Consider the following 15,903-nt stretch of genomic DNA (forward strand, 5'->3'; position numbering starts at 1 on the left):
CACTGACTTCCACAAGGGTTGAACTAGTTGACAGTCCCACCAACAGTGTAAAAGTCTTCCTATTTCTCCACATCCTCTCTAGCACCTGTTGTTTCCTGACTTTTTAATGATCGTCATTCTAACTGGTGTGAGATGGTATCTCATTGTGGTTTTGATTTGCATTTCTCTGATGGCCAGTGATGATGAGCATTTTTTCATGTGTTTTTTGGCTGCATAAATGCCTTCTTTTGAGAAGTGTCTGTGCATATCTTTTGCCCACTTTTTGATGGGGTTGTTTGTTTTTTTCTTGTAAATTTGTTGAGTTCATTGTAGATTCTGTAATGCTTCATTTTTTTCCCCACAGCTTTGATTTAATCAATGGAAGAAACTGGTCTTATTACTCTCCATATTCCAAGGCCTAGCACAGGCCCTGTACATAGTAGGTGGATCATTTGGAACTGTGGATTATATGGTTTATTTGAAATGGAGATTAATGTTGGAATTTCTTCTTTTCAGCCAAAAAAGATCCTTCACAAGATAAAGTCCCAGGCTTTGCGGCAATTAACAGAGCATAATTCTTTACATATTTATGAGGTTTTCCATTTTATATATAACTTCTTGCACCTTTGTAATGTTATGGTATTTGACCCACTCTGTGAGTTAAGTACACCTGCCACCATTTCACCCACTCAGCAGGTAAGAAAACAGAGGCAGAGCATGGGGATTTGCTAATGTCAGAGAGTTATTTTAGTGGCATACACATTAGAAACCACATGTCCTGGCCCCAAGCTCTTCTCACTGGATCATGTACCTATGATTATTGAGCCTAAAGGAGGATCCAGGTATTTTCCACCTTTATTCACTCTGTCAGTGCTGCTTATTTGCAAAATTTCCTTGCCTTGTTTTTTCTGGTTATATGGCCTGATGTTTGTGTCTATCACATCATTTACAAATTGCTCTAAACTCTGTTTTTACTATTATTTCTGACATGCAGTCAATTTCTTAGCTTACAGCTCGATTAATCATGCTTGAATAATTTTGAAGGGAACTTTTGTGTAGCTGGAATTTGGAAAGTGTTGAAGCATCAGTCTTCTAGCTTTCATCACTACTTTTCCCAGACATAAACCAGCTGAGAAATTCTACTTCATTTATCATGATAGGATGTCTATCTCAATGTTCATGAGGATTAACATCATTAATGGTATCTCCAGTTCAGGAAAAAAAGAAAGAGAAGAATCTCTTTGTTTCTGTCTCAGAATAAACTTTCCTAAAGATGATTTTATACTGCAATTTGAAACCTGCTTTTTTTTTAACTTCTGATAAAATAGCATGTAAATTGCTCACAAATCAAATGTGACATATGATTTATTTACTGTTGACAATCCCGGACCTGTCCAAAGCCACAAGGAATGATAAATTAAGTGCTTCTTCACTTAGTGCTGCTGATGTTCATTGCAAACCTTTTTTAAAATGATGTTGAACATTTTTACAGAGGGGACATAGCCCAACACAATAGCCCAGTGAGGAGACAATTACTGAAATGGAGGTACATATATATTTTTTCTTTATACACATGTGCACGTGCAAGCACACAATCTGGGGCCCCACTAGCTTCATCCTGCTTTTACTCTACACGTTGCTCATATACTTCATTCACATTGGTCTTCTTCCTGCAACATACCAAGTTCATTCCTACTGCCGGGCTTGTTGAAGTTTCTCCCTCTGAAATGCTTTTCCCCAAATCTTCACATAGCCTAGTGATTCTCAGTCAGGGGCAGTTTTGTCTCCTAGGAGACATTTGGTAATGTCTGGAGATATTTTTGAGTGCCCTGACTTGGAGGTGGAGCTGCTGCAAGATCTAGTGGGTAGAAGCCAGGGATGCTGCTTAACATCCTACAAGGGACAGGGTAATTCCACATCACAAAAACCGATCCAGTCCAAAATGTCACCAATGCTGAGGTTGAGACACCCTACATTATAGCTGACCTTTCTCCACATTTGAGAATTAGTGCAAATGTCAACTCTCCTTCCAAGAGAGGCCTTCCCTGCCACCCTCTCTAAAGCAACCTTATTTTCTTCCAGTACTTTTTCTTTCTTCTATGACTTCAAGCACTATCTGAATTTTTAAAAAATATGTTTGTTTACTTGGTTTTTGCTTGTCTATCCTCTGTAGAATGTACACTATACTTGAGGGATCTTATCTGTTTTTTGTACCACTGTCTTCCCAAAGCCCAGAACAGTGCCTAGCATATAACAGATGCTCGCTATACATTTCTTCAAAGGAAGAAAGGAAGGAAGGAAAAAAGAAAGAAAAAAAAGATGATAGATGGATCAATAATGAATAAAGACTGAAAAAACTTAACAACATAAAAAAATACTCCCCTTTGAAATGATATGTGCCAGAAATATGTAATAGACAAATGCCATTTGACCATCACATGTAATTGGTATGTTATCATAAGAAAACGTTTGGCAACAGTTCCTGATAAATGATGGATGTATATACTGTGAATAGCCATCAACATAGCACTTAGTTTTTAGATGAAGCTCACTGAGTTCATTAACACTGGTTTTCGGTCTGAAAGAGCCATGGGCTCCATTCATTTGTTAATAGCACAGCTGGAATCAAGAAGACTGATTTTGGGATCTAGTCAATCAGTATGTTTGTCTCATCCGGACAATATGAGATTCTTTTCTGTGTATTTGTTCTGAAAACTGTAGGGTTTTTCTCCATTTATTTGCTTAGTTATGGCTGTTCTTAATTTCCACTGCTTTGTTTTCACTGCTGCTGGTCATTATTTCCTGACCTCTTTACATGTTGAGACTACACTTTTGGGCTTGGCTGCAGCATTTATAGGAACCTGTCTGTTCTTTGGCATCATTTATGAACAGTTCAATCATATATTAAAAAAGAATTATCATTAAAAAGCCACCTGGGTTATCATTTTCAAAATAAAGTTAATGCAACGGAATGCACTTAGTGCTGATAATTACTGAACATAACAGAATGGGTATTTGATGACTGAGAAAGCAACTCAAGATAACAATGGTCTCACAATCATCACAATGCATTTGAATTGTCCTTGCCCCACAGGTGGGTGAGAGTGCTATGGTCACAGAGAGATTCCCTGTGTGTGACGGCAAATGCGTTTACTCTACCATGGAAAACACGTGTTTCGTGAAGACATGACTTTATCGACTTTTTCTCTGGCTTCCTACTGAGCCTTTAAACTCTGGAACTTTCATCATGCTTCCATCCCCCACTCCCAGCCTCTGTCTTTATCCCCTAATTACTTGAGCTTAACTTCCCTGACCTACAGAGAGTCAAGAAAAACTGGCATATAAAGCTCCGTTGTGTTTTGGTCTGACCTGTGGGTCCTTTAAATGAAGCCAGGATATACAGTGTGGGGGTTTGAGCTGCTAATGTCTGGACGCTTTTAAGAAGCATAAATCTCTCCAAACCCAATGGGGACTTGAATGTGGTGATTTCCAACCCTCTTGGATTTGTGACACCTTATGGTTTGATTTGCTGACACCTTCTTCCCCCTTTTTAAAAGTAACAGGTGTGTCATATGTTTATGTAAAAAATTAAATAAATCATCATTTATATCTTTTTATTATTTAGCTTTATTTTTGAGGGTGAGGGAAGAGGGAGGCACTTTGGAGAATTTTTTATAGCCATAATAGCTGTGTTCTTTGGGGCTAGCTGAAATTTAATCCTGTTTGTATCCTCAAGCCTATTGCAGTGATGCTAGCTAATTTACCCTTGCTTTCTTTGAACTGTTGTTTGTATTCTTTTGTGTGATCCTTCACCATACGCTATCCCATGTTGTTCTCAAATTACTTCTAATATATTCTATAGTCCCGGAAATATCATTACTCTTAGATCTGACCCAGTTTGAAGCATAGAGTAGATGCACAATAAGAAATCAATTGAGTAATTGGAGACATCTTTGGATGGGGCTGAGGCACAACCCGGGTTTGGAACACAAACTCTCACTGCTTTGAATAAGTTATAGAGAAGAGAGAAGCAAATCTACTCCATGATGGACTAAGTACAGGCTTTCTCATTTCCATGGAGAAAGCAGTGACAGCCACAGCATCAACCACACTTGAAGGAAATCAAATCTTGCAAAATGGAATTCAGAGGGCATCAAATGAAGGAATGCCATGATGTAGCCTAGAACTTTTGGTTTATTATTCCAGCTGCTTGCTTGTCTTCTTTGGTTATGTGGGAAGGACAACCATAGCCATCCTGGCTATCTTGGTATCTCACCAGGCATCATAAATGGTCATGGCCTCTATCGCTCCTCGCCTATTGCTTCTTTGCTCACAATGAGGGAGTGAGGAGGACTCTCTCCCTGCCAGTGTTTCAATCCTTGCATAAGGATTCTAAACGGTGTGGTCTTAGTCTTTCTCACCTCTCAGTTTTACAGTTTTGTATTCAATTTATTTCTTTAGCTTTCATCTCAAGGATTCTGGGACAAGTTTTTGTCAATGAGGTTTAATTGGAGATCTATGAGAGGCATCCCATTGGGTACCATGCTGAAGTCTTCCTTGACATCTATAGTTGGTCAGTGACCTGGGGTTTAGTCAGCATCTCCAATCCTTCTTTCAGGATGAACTTTCCATGGGGGGATCTCTCCAAACAGAGAGTGAACATTCCACTTACTCTTCTTTGAATGCTAAACCCAATGTTCTGGGGGCCTCCCTTTACTAGAAAGCTCAGCTGGTACCTCCCTACTGACAGTACTTCCTAAGAGAAACTTCCTTACTCCTGTACCTCCCCTCAGTAGTCACGACTGGCTAGATTAGGAATGGCTACCTGACTCAAGGGTGAGCCATTAATCAGCTTTCCAGTGACACAACTCATTGTGAGAAATAAGCTGGAAAAATCCAAATCTTCCCCTTAGGAGTTTGAACTGGGGAACTTGAAGAGCTCAAGACAGGTAGAAGCAGGGACAGAAAAATGTCCCATGTTAGAATCATGGCCAGGCAGAGGTACATGTGAGTAGAATTTCAGATGGAGCAGAACGTACAAGTAAACAGAAGCATCAGTTGACAGATAAGGAGAATGGTCCAGAAATGCAGACAGAAGCTAAAATAATATGAGAAAGAGACCATGAGATCTGCGTGAAAGGAAAGCTGTGGAAAGTATTCAGCCCCTGGATATGACTCTATTCTTGATAGCTTCCCACTTCTACTCAATACATATCTTTACAATAAACTCCCCCCCTTTCATGAGCTTATTTGAGCCAGCCTTTCCTTTGATATCAAAAAAGCCTGACCCTATCACTCTCCTGATCCTCACAGGCTGTATGATTATTTTTACCTGGGAAACCCCTTGGCTTCTTATAAAGGTGTGACTTCTAGTGACTGACCCTGGCATGCTAGATTCCTCCAAAGGGATGGGCCAACCAGGTTCCAACTCTAGGTATGTTTGAAAACATACAAAACAATAGTTTAGTTCGAGTGAACAATGTCACTTTTTACTTGTGGACAATACAAAGCGTCCTATGAAATTGCTGCAGCCACAGTCACAGTTCTGATCCCTTTTTACCGCTTTTCTACCCATTGACCTGCACAGCCTAGCCTTGTGACTTATTTTAGCCAATGAAATAAAGCAGAAGTAGTAGAGTGCTAGCCTGAGACTACGACTTAAAAGGCATTGCAAGCTTCCATATGTTCCTCTTGGGCTTCTGCCATCAGTAGGAGAAGAACATGCCTCATGGCACTCACTGGTCCCAAGAGAATGAGAGATACGTGGAGCTGAGCAGCTACGGCCAATGCCTGCAGCCTGAGCAAAGCCATTGTAGCTGACCTGGGAGCAGGTTAATACATGCTTGTTACCGCATGCACCTGAGATTCTGTGATTGGTATGTAATCATAGCTGATTAATAATATCTATCTTCTGCAGCTTTCTCTTTCCTTTGACTTTATACTTCCTCTTGATTTTGCCTTCCTTTCTGGCCACTCCTTCTCAGTCTTCTTCATGAGCCCCTCTTCTGTTACCCTTCAAATGTTGGTATTGCTCAAGCTTCTGGTCAAGGCCTCTATTTTTTCAATATACATTTGATACATTGATGAACTGCATAGGTGAGTTCAGTATCTTTTACAACCCGATGACTCTCAAATTTGTATCTTTGGTCCAGACTTCTCTTCTTTACATTAGATTCATATGTATTTATACAGATGCCTCTTGGTCACCTCCTTCTAAATGCTTTGCAGGCTTCTTGAAGTCAGTGTATCAAGGGAAGTAATCATCACTTTCTCCATACCTCTACTTGTTCCTCCTTCTGTAACCTTTCTCAAGTGACTAGCACTATAATTTGCTTAGTTGTCCAAACCAGAAGCCAAATTTCACCTTGATTTTTTTTCTCTCTCAAAGTTTTTCAGTTTACTGTGTACTCAGTCACGAACTGCACAGATTTCTGCTTCCTAAATGTCTCTCCTAACTGACCATGATTCTCCATCCCTAGTATTCATGGTTGTAGATCAGGCCTCCATCCTCTCTGACCTGGCTCACAGGAATCATTCCCTAAGTGGTCTCAGTGCTGCTAGTGTGGACCCCTCACCGTCTATCCTCATCCTCTGGAGGTCCATTTCTGATGTTGCTGATATGAACTTTCTGGTGAGGTATATATGAGCATGACAAATGTCTCCAATAGCTTCTTTCTATACCTTTCAGGATAAAGCCCAAACTTTTTAGCAAGGCATATAAATCACTTTCTAACTTGGCCTCCTCTGCTTTTTGCTGTAATAATGAAGACCCAGTTTCTGTCCTCAACGCTGAAGGGAATAATGCTTACACGGAAAAGTACTTTCACTATAAGCAGTAAGAAAAGGGTGCTATCACCTAAAAGGGGCCATCTAATTCATGGACGGTAGAGGGAGAGGGAGAAGGTTTCCTTGATCCCCCAGTGTGAACCAAGGCCTGAAGGTAGAGAACACATCAGCCACAGCAAGGGGCGAATGAGCTGTGGGGAGGGAGAAAGAGTGGCCCATGCAGAAGGAACTGTGTGGGCCAAGGTCTGTGCTTGAAGAACTAAAATAATCAGTCTGGTAGAGGATTAAGTATGGTGGTGCTAATTGGGACTTGTGGGTCTTTCTTCTGAGCTGTATTAAGGAGCTTGGAGGCTCTTAAAGCAGCAATTGACAAGCAAGATTAAATTGTTGATCAAGCAAAATCACCTGTATAATTACTAGAAGAATTTCTATTTGGGGGATTCTTGGGACAAACTTGATTACGTCTCAGCTTTGTAGTTTTTTTCCGGATTGTGCAGTTGAGGTTACTTTAAAACGAATTTTTATTGACTCTCTGAACACAAAGGTGAAAGAAATCCCCAGAGGTCATTGAGATTTTTACCCCTGGCTTCAGGCAGAACCACACATAAATCTTTCCAGACAGATGGGTGTTTGTTGGCAAAGGTATTCAGCCGCAAAGAAGTAATAGCTGCTTTTGTTGACAGATTTAGAGATGTTTTGCCAAACACTATCTTAAAATACTATGATTAGATGTAATTTTGCAAAAATGAGTCTATAATGGAGGTGATTCGCTTGCCGTATCAGCTTAGGAGTATCTTCTATTTACAGTTTATTAAATTTACATTTGATTAATTTACACTGAGTGCAAGCAGTTACTCCGTAATTATCTCTTTGCCTGCATCAGAATACATGCAACATTATGTTTGGAAAATTGTGAAGTCAGAAGATGTTAACATTGGAAATACCCATTAGTGATCTCTTTTACCTCCTTACCATCCAAACAAATGCTTTATGCATTTAGATTCATGAGGGGTTCTTCAACTCTGTATTTCCCACACATTCTAACACAAAATTTTATTTATCTTCCATTTCATAATTTAATAGCTAATCTGTCACAAGCAACAATTTTTGTTTGTTTGCTTAGTTCTGCTGAACCCACCGTCATTAGACAAAACCATTATTTGAAAAATCTCTTTCAGGAAATCATATACATGGATATCCTATGAAGTTCTCATAAACAAGAGCTGTGTTTTCTTTAGTTGTTTATTCTTAAACTTTTCAAATATTTATTGCACACTTGAGACATTGTGGTGGATGGCATTTCAATATACATTTAACCCCAAATAATGTAAGTGACGGGTCAGCAAACGATAGCCTTTTGGCCAAATCCAGCATGCTGCCTGTTTTTGTATGGCCTTTGAGCTAAGAATGATTTATGAAATGGCTGAAAACATTTAAAAGAAGAATACTGACATGTGACTGTTATATGAAATTCAAATTTCAGTGTCCATAAATAGTTTTATTGGAACATAACTATACTCATTCATTTACATATTGTCTGTGGCTGCTTTTGTAACACAAGGGCATGTTGAGTAGTTGCGGCAGGCACCGTATGGTCTGCCAAGCCTAAAATGTTTACTATCTTGCTCTTTCCAGAAAATGTTTGCTGATCCCTAGCCTAAGGTAATCATGGTAATCTCATTTCCTTTGTGAATGATTGGTTTGGGAATGAACATAAAAACCTAATCCTGGGAAAATGAATATCAGAGGTCTGAGGGGGCTTCTTGGAAAGGTTTCTTAGCTGCTCTTAAGGAGGCACAGGAAAAGATGGTTCCTTTCTTTCTTTGCTGTTGTTGCCCCTGGATAAGGAGCCTGAAGATGTGTGTGGCTGCCTTGTGGCTATGACGGCTGTGGCTGTAAAGGCTCTGTACTGAAGGCATGGCCACCTCACTGAGTATGACAGCAGGGAGATGGGAAGAGCCAGATTTCTCATGCGGATATGAAGACATTAACTGAGCCCTGGATCCTACTCTGCCTTTGAACTTCATGTTGTATGAGGTAACATGCTTGCTTCATGTTTAAGTCATTTTGAGGTAGGGGTGGAGGTAAATTTCTGTTCCTTGGTGCCAAAGCTTCCTACATGGACATCAACAATACACTAGCCACTGTGTCAGGTGTTGGGAATACAGTAATGCCAAAAATAATATAAAGTAAAATGTTCCTGTTCTTCACTAGCTTAGTGTAGTAGGGAGACTTTCTAGAAAAATAGGATAGGGAACGTTTAAGGCTGTCTTGAGGAATCAGGGTAAAGCTCACAGAAGTACTAATGCTTGATCTGAGATTTGAACGGTGATTTGGACCTCAGCAGGCCATTTTATAGGACACCAACAATCCAGGAAAAAGAAGAATATAGAAAAAGAAGCAGGACAGATGAAACAGTATGGTGTTTGTTTGGGGATAAGTAGAAGCAGTTCAGTATGGCTGAGATGCTGAGGATGGAAGAAGGGGCTCGAGTTTCCTTAGCATAGAACTTGGATGCGCTGTTGTAACAACGACTACTATCATTGCTGCTAGTACAGAAGCAATTCTTACAACTATTTTAAAACTGTGACAGGTACACCTCATTTTATTGCACTTCACTTAATTTTGCTTCACAGATAATGCATTTTTTACAAACTGAAGCTTTCTGGCAACCCTGTGCTGAGCGAGTCTGTTGGCACCATTTTTCCAACAGCGTGTGCTCACTTTGCATCTCTGTGTCACATTTTGGTAATTCTCACAATATTTCAAACCTTTTCATGACTATTCTATCTGTTATAGTGGTCTGTGGTCAGTGATCTTTGATGTCACTATTGTAATTGTTTTGGGGTGCCACAAACCATGCCCATAGAAGATGAAGAATTGAACTGATAACTGTTGTGTGTGTTCTGACTGCTCTACTCACTGGTTGTTCCCCATCTCTCTCCATCTCCTCAGGTTTCCCTATTCCCAGAGACACAACAATATTCAAATTAGGCCAGTTGATAACCCTACAATGGCCTCTAAGTGTTTGAGTGAAAGGAAGTGTGGCACATCTCTCACTGTAAATCAAAAGCTAAAAATTATAAAGCTTAGTCAGGAAGGCATGTTAAAAGCGGAGAGAGGCTGACAGTAAGGCCTCTCCAAACAGTTAGCCAAACTGTGAATGCAAAAGAAAAGTTCTTGAAGGGAATTAAAAGGGCTACTCCTGGAAACACATAAATGATAAGAAAGTGAAACGGTCTTATTGCTTATATGGCAAAAGTTCTACTGGTCTGGATAGAAGATCAATCCAACCACAACCTTCCCTTAAGCCAAAGCCTAATCCAGAGCAAAGCCCTAACTCTCTTCAGTTCTATGAAGGCTGAGAGATGTGAGGAAGCTGCAGAAGAAAATTTGGAAGCCAGCAGAGGTTGATTCATGGGATTTAAGGAAAGAAGCCTTCTCAGTAACATAAAAGTGCAAGATGAAGCAGCAAGTGCTGATGGAGAAGCTGCAACAATTTATCCAGAAGATCTACCTAAGATCATTGATGAAGGCGGCTATACTAAACAACAGATTTTCAATGTAGATTAAACAGCCTTCTGTTGGAAGAAGATGCCATCTAGGACTTTCATATCTAGAGAGAAGTCAATACCTGGTTGCTTTTCTTTTTTCTCCTTTTGAGACAGAGTTTCACTCTTGTTGCCCAAGTTGGAGTACAGTGGCACAATCTCGGGTCACTGCAACCTCTACCTCCGAGGTTCAAGCTATTCCTCCACCTCAGCCTCCCGAGTAGCTGGGATTACAGGCACCCACCACCACACCCAGCTAATTTTTTGTATTTTTAGTAGAGACGGGATTTCATTATGTTGGCCAGGCTGGTCTCAAACTCCTGACCTCAGGTGATCTGCCTGCCTCGGCCTCCCAAAGTGCAGGGATTACAGGCGTGAGCCACTGCTCCAGGCCCGAGAAGTCAATACCTGGTTTCAGTGCTTCAGAGGAATGGCTGACTCTCTTGGTTAGGGGCTAATGCAACTCATAATTTTAAGTTGAAGCCAACATTCATTAAGCATTTCAAAACTCCTAGGGCCCTTAAGAATTATGCTAAATCTACTCTGCCTATGCTCCAGAAATGAAACAACAGAGCATGGATGACAGCACATCTGTTTACAGACTGATTTACTGAATATTTGAAGCCTATTGTTGAGACCTATTGCTTCGAGAAAAAGATTCCTTTCAAAATATTACTGCTCATTTATAACGAGTCACCCAAGAGCTCTGATGGAGATGTACAAGAAGATGCATATTGTTTTCATGCCTGCTAACACAACATTCATTCTGCAGCCCGTGGATCAAGGAGTAATTCTGACTTTCAAGTTTTATTATCTAAGAAATATATTCCATAGGCTATAGCTGCCATACATGGTGATTCCTCTGATGGATCTGGGCAAAGTAAATTTAAAACCTTCTGGAAGGGATTTATTCTAGATGTTGTTAAGAACATTCACGTTTCATGGGAGGAGGTCAAAATATCTACCTTACCAGGAGTTTGGAAAGTTGATTCCAACCATCATCAATGACTTTGAGGGGTTAGAGACTTCAGTGGCGGAAGTGGAGCCTAAAGACGTGAGTAAACTGCTGCAATCTCATGTCAAAACTTTAATGGATGAATTATTTCTTCTGGATAAGCTAAGAAAGTGGTTTTGGGGATGGAATCTACTGGTGAAGATGCTGTGAACATTGTTGAAATGATAACAAGGGATTTAGAATATTACACAAACTCAGTTGATAAAGCTGCAGCAGGATTTGAGAGGACTGACTAATTTGAAAGGAATTCTACTGTAAGTAAAATGCTATCAAATAGCATCATATGCTATAGAGAAATCTTTCATAAATCAATATGGCAGACTTCATATTTGTCTTATTTTAAGAAATTGCCACAGCCACCTCAACCTTCAACAACCATCACCCTGATTAGGCAGCAGCCATCAACATTGAGGCCAGAGCCTCCACAATAAAAAAGATGATGACTTGATGAAGGCTCAGAAAATCATTAGCATTTTTAAGCAATAAAATATTTTTTAACTAAGTTATGCACATTGTTTTCTTACACATAATGCTATTGTACACTTAATAGACTATAGTGTAGTGGGAACATAACTTTTATGTGCACTGGGAAACCAAAACATTTTTGTGACTCTTTATTGTGATATTTGCTTTTTTGTTCTGGTCTAGAACCAAACATGCAGTATCACTGAGGTATGTCTATATACTACTAATGTATTGGTATTAATAACCAATACTTAACCAATACATGATATCAACCAATACATTAATATCATTTATTGAGTACTTACTAGATTAGGCACTTTAAGTATATAATCTCATTTGATTCTTATCAGAGTTCTAAGGGGAGAGTCCTGTAGTTATCCTAGTTCTAAAGATAATTAACCAAGGCAAAATGAAGTTAAAGGATTTGTCCAAAGTCACACAGCTAGTAAGTGTAGAAGTGGGAACAAATCTTTGGTCTTTCTGATTCAAAGCCAGTGTATTTGAATAAAGACCGTATGCATAAAGCCTTTGGGATCCTGTAGGATAGAGTTTGGTTATATCTTGCTGCATATTTCATATCCAGTGGATTCTATGACTCTTTCCCATAATACACAACCATTATTATGGCTTTCAGGAGCTACAATATATTTGCGTTTCAAAGATGTTTTTATCTTTTAAAAAATACGCATTTGGAAGTGAAGTGAATTATGGAAATTTCAGACACACACACACGCACACACATATACATATATATGTGACTTAAAATGAAAATTTTCAATACCCTAATTTATGAAATAAAATTCTGAAGTGCAAGGAGAAAGAAGACAATTGTAGAATTCAGAGGTAGTGGTAAATAGCTGGATCCGATGAAAAGCAGAGCAGAGACTGAGCTGTCAAATATCAGGGTGTCAAAGGCAATTAAGAAGAGTGGTTTCAAATAAGTGAGGCTGATGAGAAAGTGAAAAGGAAGAGGGAGAGTCTCTGGGGTCATATGGGAGAAAAGTGACAAAAAAAGGGGCCAGAAGAAAGGCAGTGGGAAATACAGGAGGTCACTTGTGGTTGGATCTGAAAAGCATGGGGGGCACTCGCAGATAGGGCAGAATCCAAGAGGGAGTGAAGGTGAAGTCTGTAGTTGTGTACAGCCACCTGGACTGTGGGTCAGATGGCCAGCATCCAAATCCCAGCTCAGCCACTGTACCGCCTAAGGAGGGTAACTAAATCTTTGAAGTCTTGTTTCCTCATCTGTAAAATGGAGATAAAAGTAGCACCTAACTTGTAGGGTGTTAGGAGGATAAATGCACTCATGTATGTTAAAAGTGCTTAACACAGTGCCAGACACACAGTAAAGTGTTCAATAACTTTACTGTTGATATTATTATTATCCTATCAGGATGGAGCTGATCAGTCTTCCAAGCTCCATGCACAGTCCTCTCCACAAGGCAGACTGGTGGTGCCTGTCCAGGATAGCCATTTAAAGTCATCTGTTGCATTAATGAATGGCGCTTACCCCTTAAATTGTTATCATTATTATTTTTTTGGTTGGACCACTTCTGCAGTTGATTTACCCATCCTCGTGCAAGAGTATACAGTGGTGAGAATTTTAATGCACGAGTGGTTTGGGCAACAGCCTCAAAATGTCTTATTTTTACTACGTATTATTATAGCATTACATTCATAGTCAGGGGTCAGCTGCTATTTCCTGAGGTTTATAACATGCCTGTTTTAATTAACATCAAGCTAAATTTTGGCATACAGGTGGTCAGCCCAGATGTGAATGTTATTTTTAAAAGTGCCTTATGGCTGTTAAATCTCTTTCTTTAAAATAGCAAAACATATATGGGTGTGTGTATGTGGTGGGGGAAGGGGGGGTGGAAAGCAGTAAAAATATGAAATACTGATTAGTTCAGGCCTTCTATAGACAAGCTTCAATGACGAAAAGATTTCTTCAAAATTGTTAAAATATGCTTACATAGGCCACAAACTAATACATTGAATAGAAGCCAGAATAACAATAAAAATGAGGTGGCCACACACTGGATAGATAAAAGAGAGTGTATGGAGGGCTGCATATGCACTCTGCAGTTTAGAAAAATAAGCACGGGGCCTGAGTAATATGTCACAGGGATGCAGTTAGTAGAGGCGAGAGGCAGATACAAGGTTCCTAACTTCTAGAGGCAAAACAGGGCTCAAATCTTTAGTTTATCTAAATAGTATATCCTGGATATGTGCGTGTGAACACACAGCATACACATAAATACTTTGTCTTTCTCTCTTATACACACATATCACACATATACACACCACATACATATCATAAGCTCGGTCACTAATCGATGTTTGTTAATTTAGGAAAATTAATTTGCTCTCTCTAAACTTTATTATTTTGTTTTGCATCTAGCATGCTGATGGCCCATGCAAGTCATCATTGATACCCCCTTCTTTTTTATGCTTATGTCCAACCCATTGCCAAGGCCAGTTAATTTTACCTCCTCCGTATTAATCAAACCTTTCCATTTCTCTGTCTCTACCACTGCTTTCTCTAAACTACTGCAATCTCAGTCTGGGCCACTGGGGTAGCCTCCAGCCTCGTCTGGCTACATCCACTCTTGCCTGCCTCCATCCACTCTTGCCTGCCTCCACATCTATTTTCCACACCCCTTCCAGGGTTATCTATTTGAAATGAAATTGAAATATATCACTGCTTGGTTTAGGACACTTCAGTGGCCTTCCACTCATTGCTTTTGGATAAAGACAAAACTCTTCACCATGGCCTTCAAAGTCTTGGCCCTCCTATTTCTCCTACCATGACCTTCTGAATGTCTATGCCCTAAATAGAAATCGGATTTCTTCTATTCTCTTGTATTTCTCACATTCCCTACTAACACAGAGCCTTTGCACAGCCTGTCCTTTTTGCCTAAAATGATTTCCTCCTTTCTTTCTTCATTATACAATTAATTGGACCTAAAATTACTTAAACTGGGGACAGAGTCTTCCTCTCTGCAGTGAAAAGGCCTATGCAAGTGCAAATAACTATGGGAGAAGGAGCATGCTGATTATTTGAAAGTATAAATGACATATCTTGGTTTTCTGACAGGGAGCCTATTTAGGTAGAGGAAGAAAAAAGTAGAATCACTGACTAACCATTATTTAAGGACATCAATGCCATAAAAATTACAAGTTATATGTATCTCTCTCTTCTCAGGATCCTATGTGATCTATACTATGAGGTAAATGCTATTATCATCCCCATTCTATAGGAGAGGAAACTGAGGCTAGGAGAAGTTGAATAACTCAAGCACACTCAGTTCCTAACTAGTTGACCTGGATTCAAACACAAGTTCCATTTTATTCTAGAATTATAGCCCATTCCTGTTATCGCTCAGCTACCTCCATGTGCAAGAACAAAAATGTACAAGCATAGAGTTTTAGGCACCAGTGCTAATAACGATCAATATTCAATACAACTTCTAGTGTCTAGCCTTGCAAATCAATTGTTTTTCCAGTGTTAAAGGAACAAAGTCTAATAAAATTTGACCCACTGGCAGGGCATCGTCATTAGTCTCCAAAGTTTACTGTGTAACTGGAAATTGTTTCCAATGGAACTTCCCAATGGAAGCTTCTCTATCCTTGGATGATACTCTGGAAATACCAAAGTAAGCAAGTCCCACCCACAGAGAAGGTAACCCTGGCTCTCTTGCCATGTTTATGGCAAACATTCAGTGAGTCTGCTAGAATTAAATGGCAAAATTCATCACAACTAATTTCTATTTGTCATCTATTAAGCTACATTGTTTTGTCCTCAACGTCAGGTTAAATAATGAACCTCTTGCAATGGAGTAAATTAACTTCCACTTTATGTTCATGTCATTGTCAAATGGAAACATCACTTGCACAAATGAAAAAGATTCATTAGTAACACAAATGCACAAGCTCCACTCTAGTAAAAGATAAGAGCGATTGAGACCTTGTCATAGTGGGCTGTCGCTGAGCCTCTCGTTATTTATGACGCCTGCTGTAGTCTTTGGAGATTATTTTCAGCAATGGCAATTAGCCCACCGTGTATCAGGGGCAATTATAGGGCAGAGTCTGCCTCTGACAGGTATGCTG

General features: G+C 39.6%; 2 annotated features.

The window, feature by feature from the left end:
- Window positions 2,285-2,999: an enhancer, noted in NCBI's record as "OCT4-NANOG-H3K27ac-H3K4me1 hESC enhancer chr5:157699338-157700052 (GRCh37/hg19 assembly coordinates)". NCBI's record gives its function as "activates a minimal SCP1, AML or CMV promoter by ChIP-STARR-seq in naive H9 embryonic stem cells {active_cell/tissue: H9 hESC(naive)}" and the evidence as "EXISTENCE:reporter gene assay evidence [ECO:0000049][PMID:30033119]".
- Window positions 3,000-3,713: an enhancer, noted in NCBI's record as "OCT4-NANOG-H3K27ac-H3K4me1 hESC enhancer chr5:157700053-157700766 (GRCh37/hg19 assembly coordinates)". NCBI's record gives its function as "activates a minimal SCP1, AML or CMV promoter by ChIP-STARR-seq in naive H9 embryonic stem cells {active_cell/tissue: H9 hESC(naive)}" and the evidence as "EXISTENCE:reporter gene assay evidence [ECO:0000049][PMID:30033119]".

The sequence above is a fragment of the Homo sapiens genome, chromosome 5, assembly GCF_000001405.40.
Source record: "Homo sapiens chromosome 5, GRCh38.p14 Primary Assembly".
Classification (NCBI taxonomy): domain Eukaryota; kingdom Metazoa; phylum Chordata; class Mammalia; order Primates; family Hominidae; genus Homo; species Homo sapiens.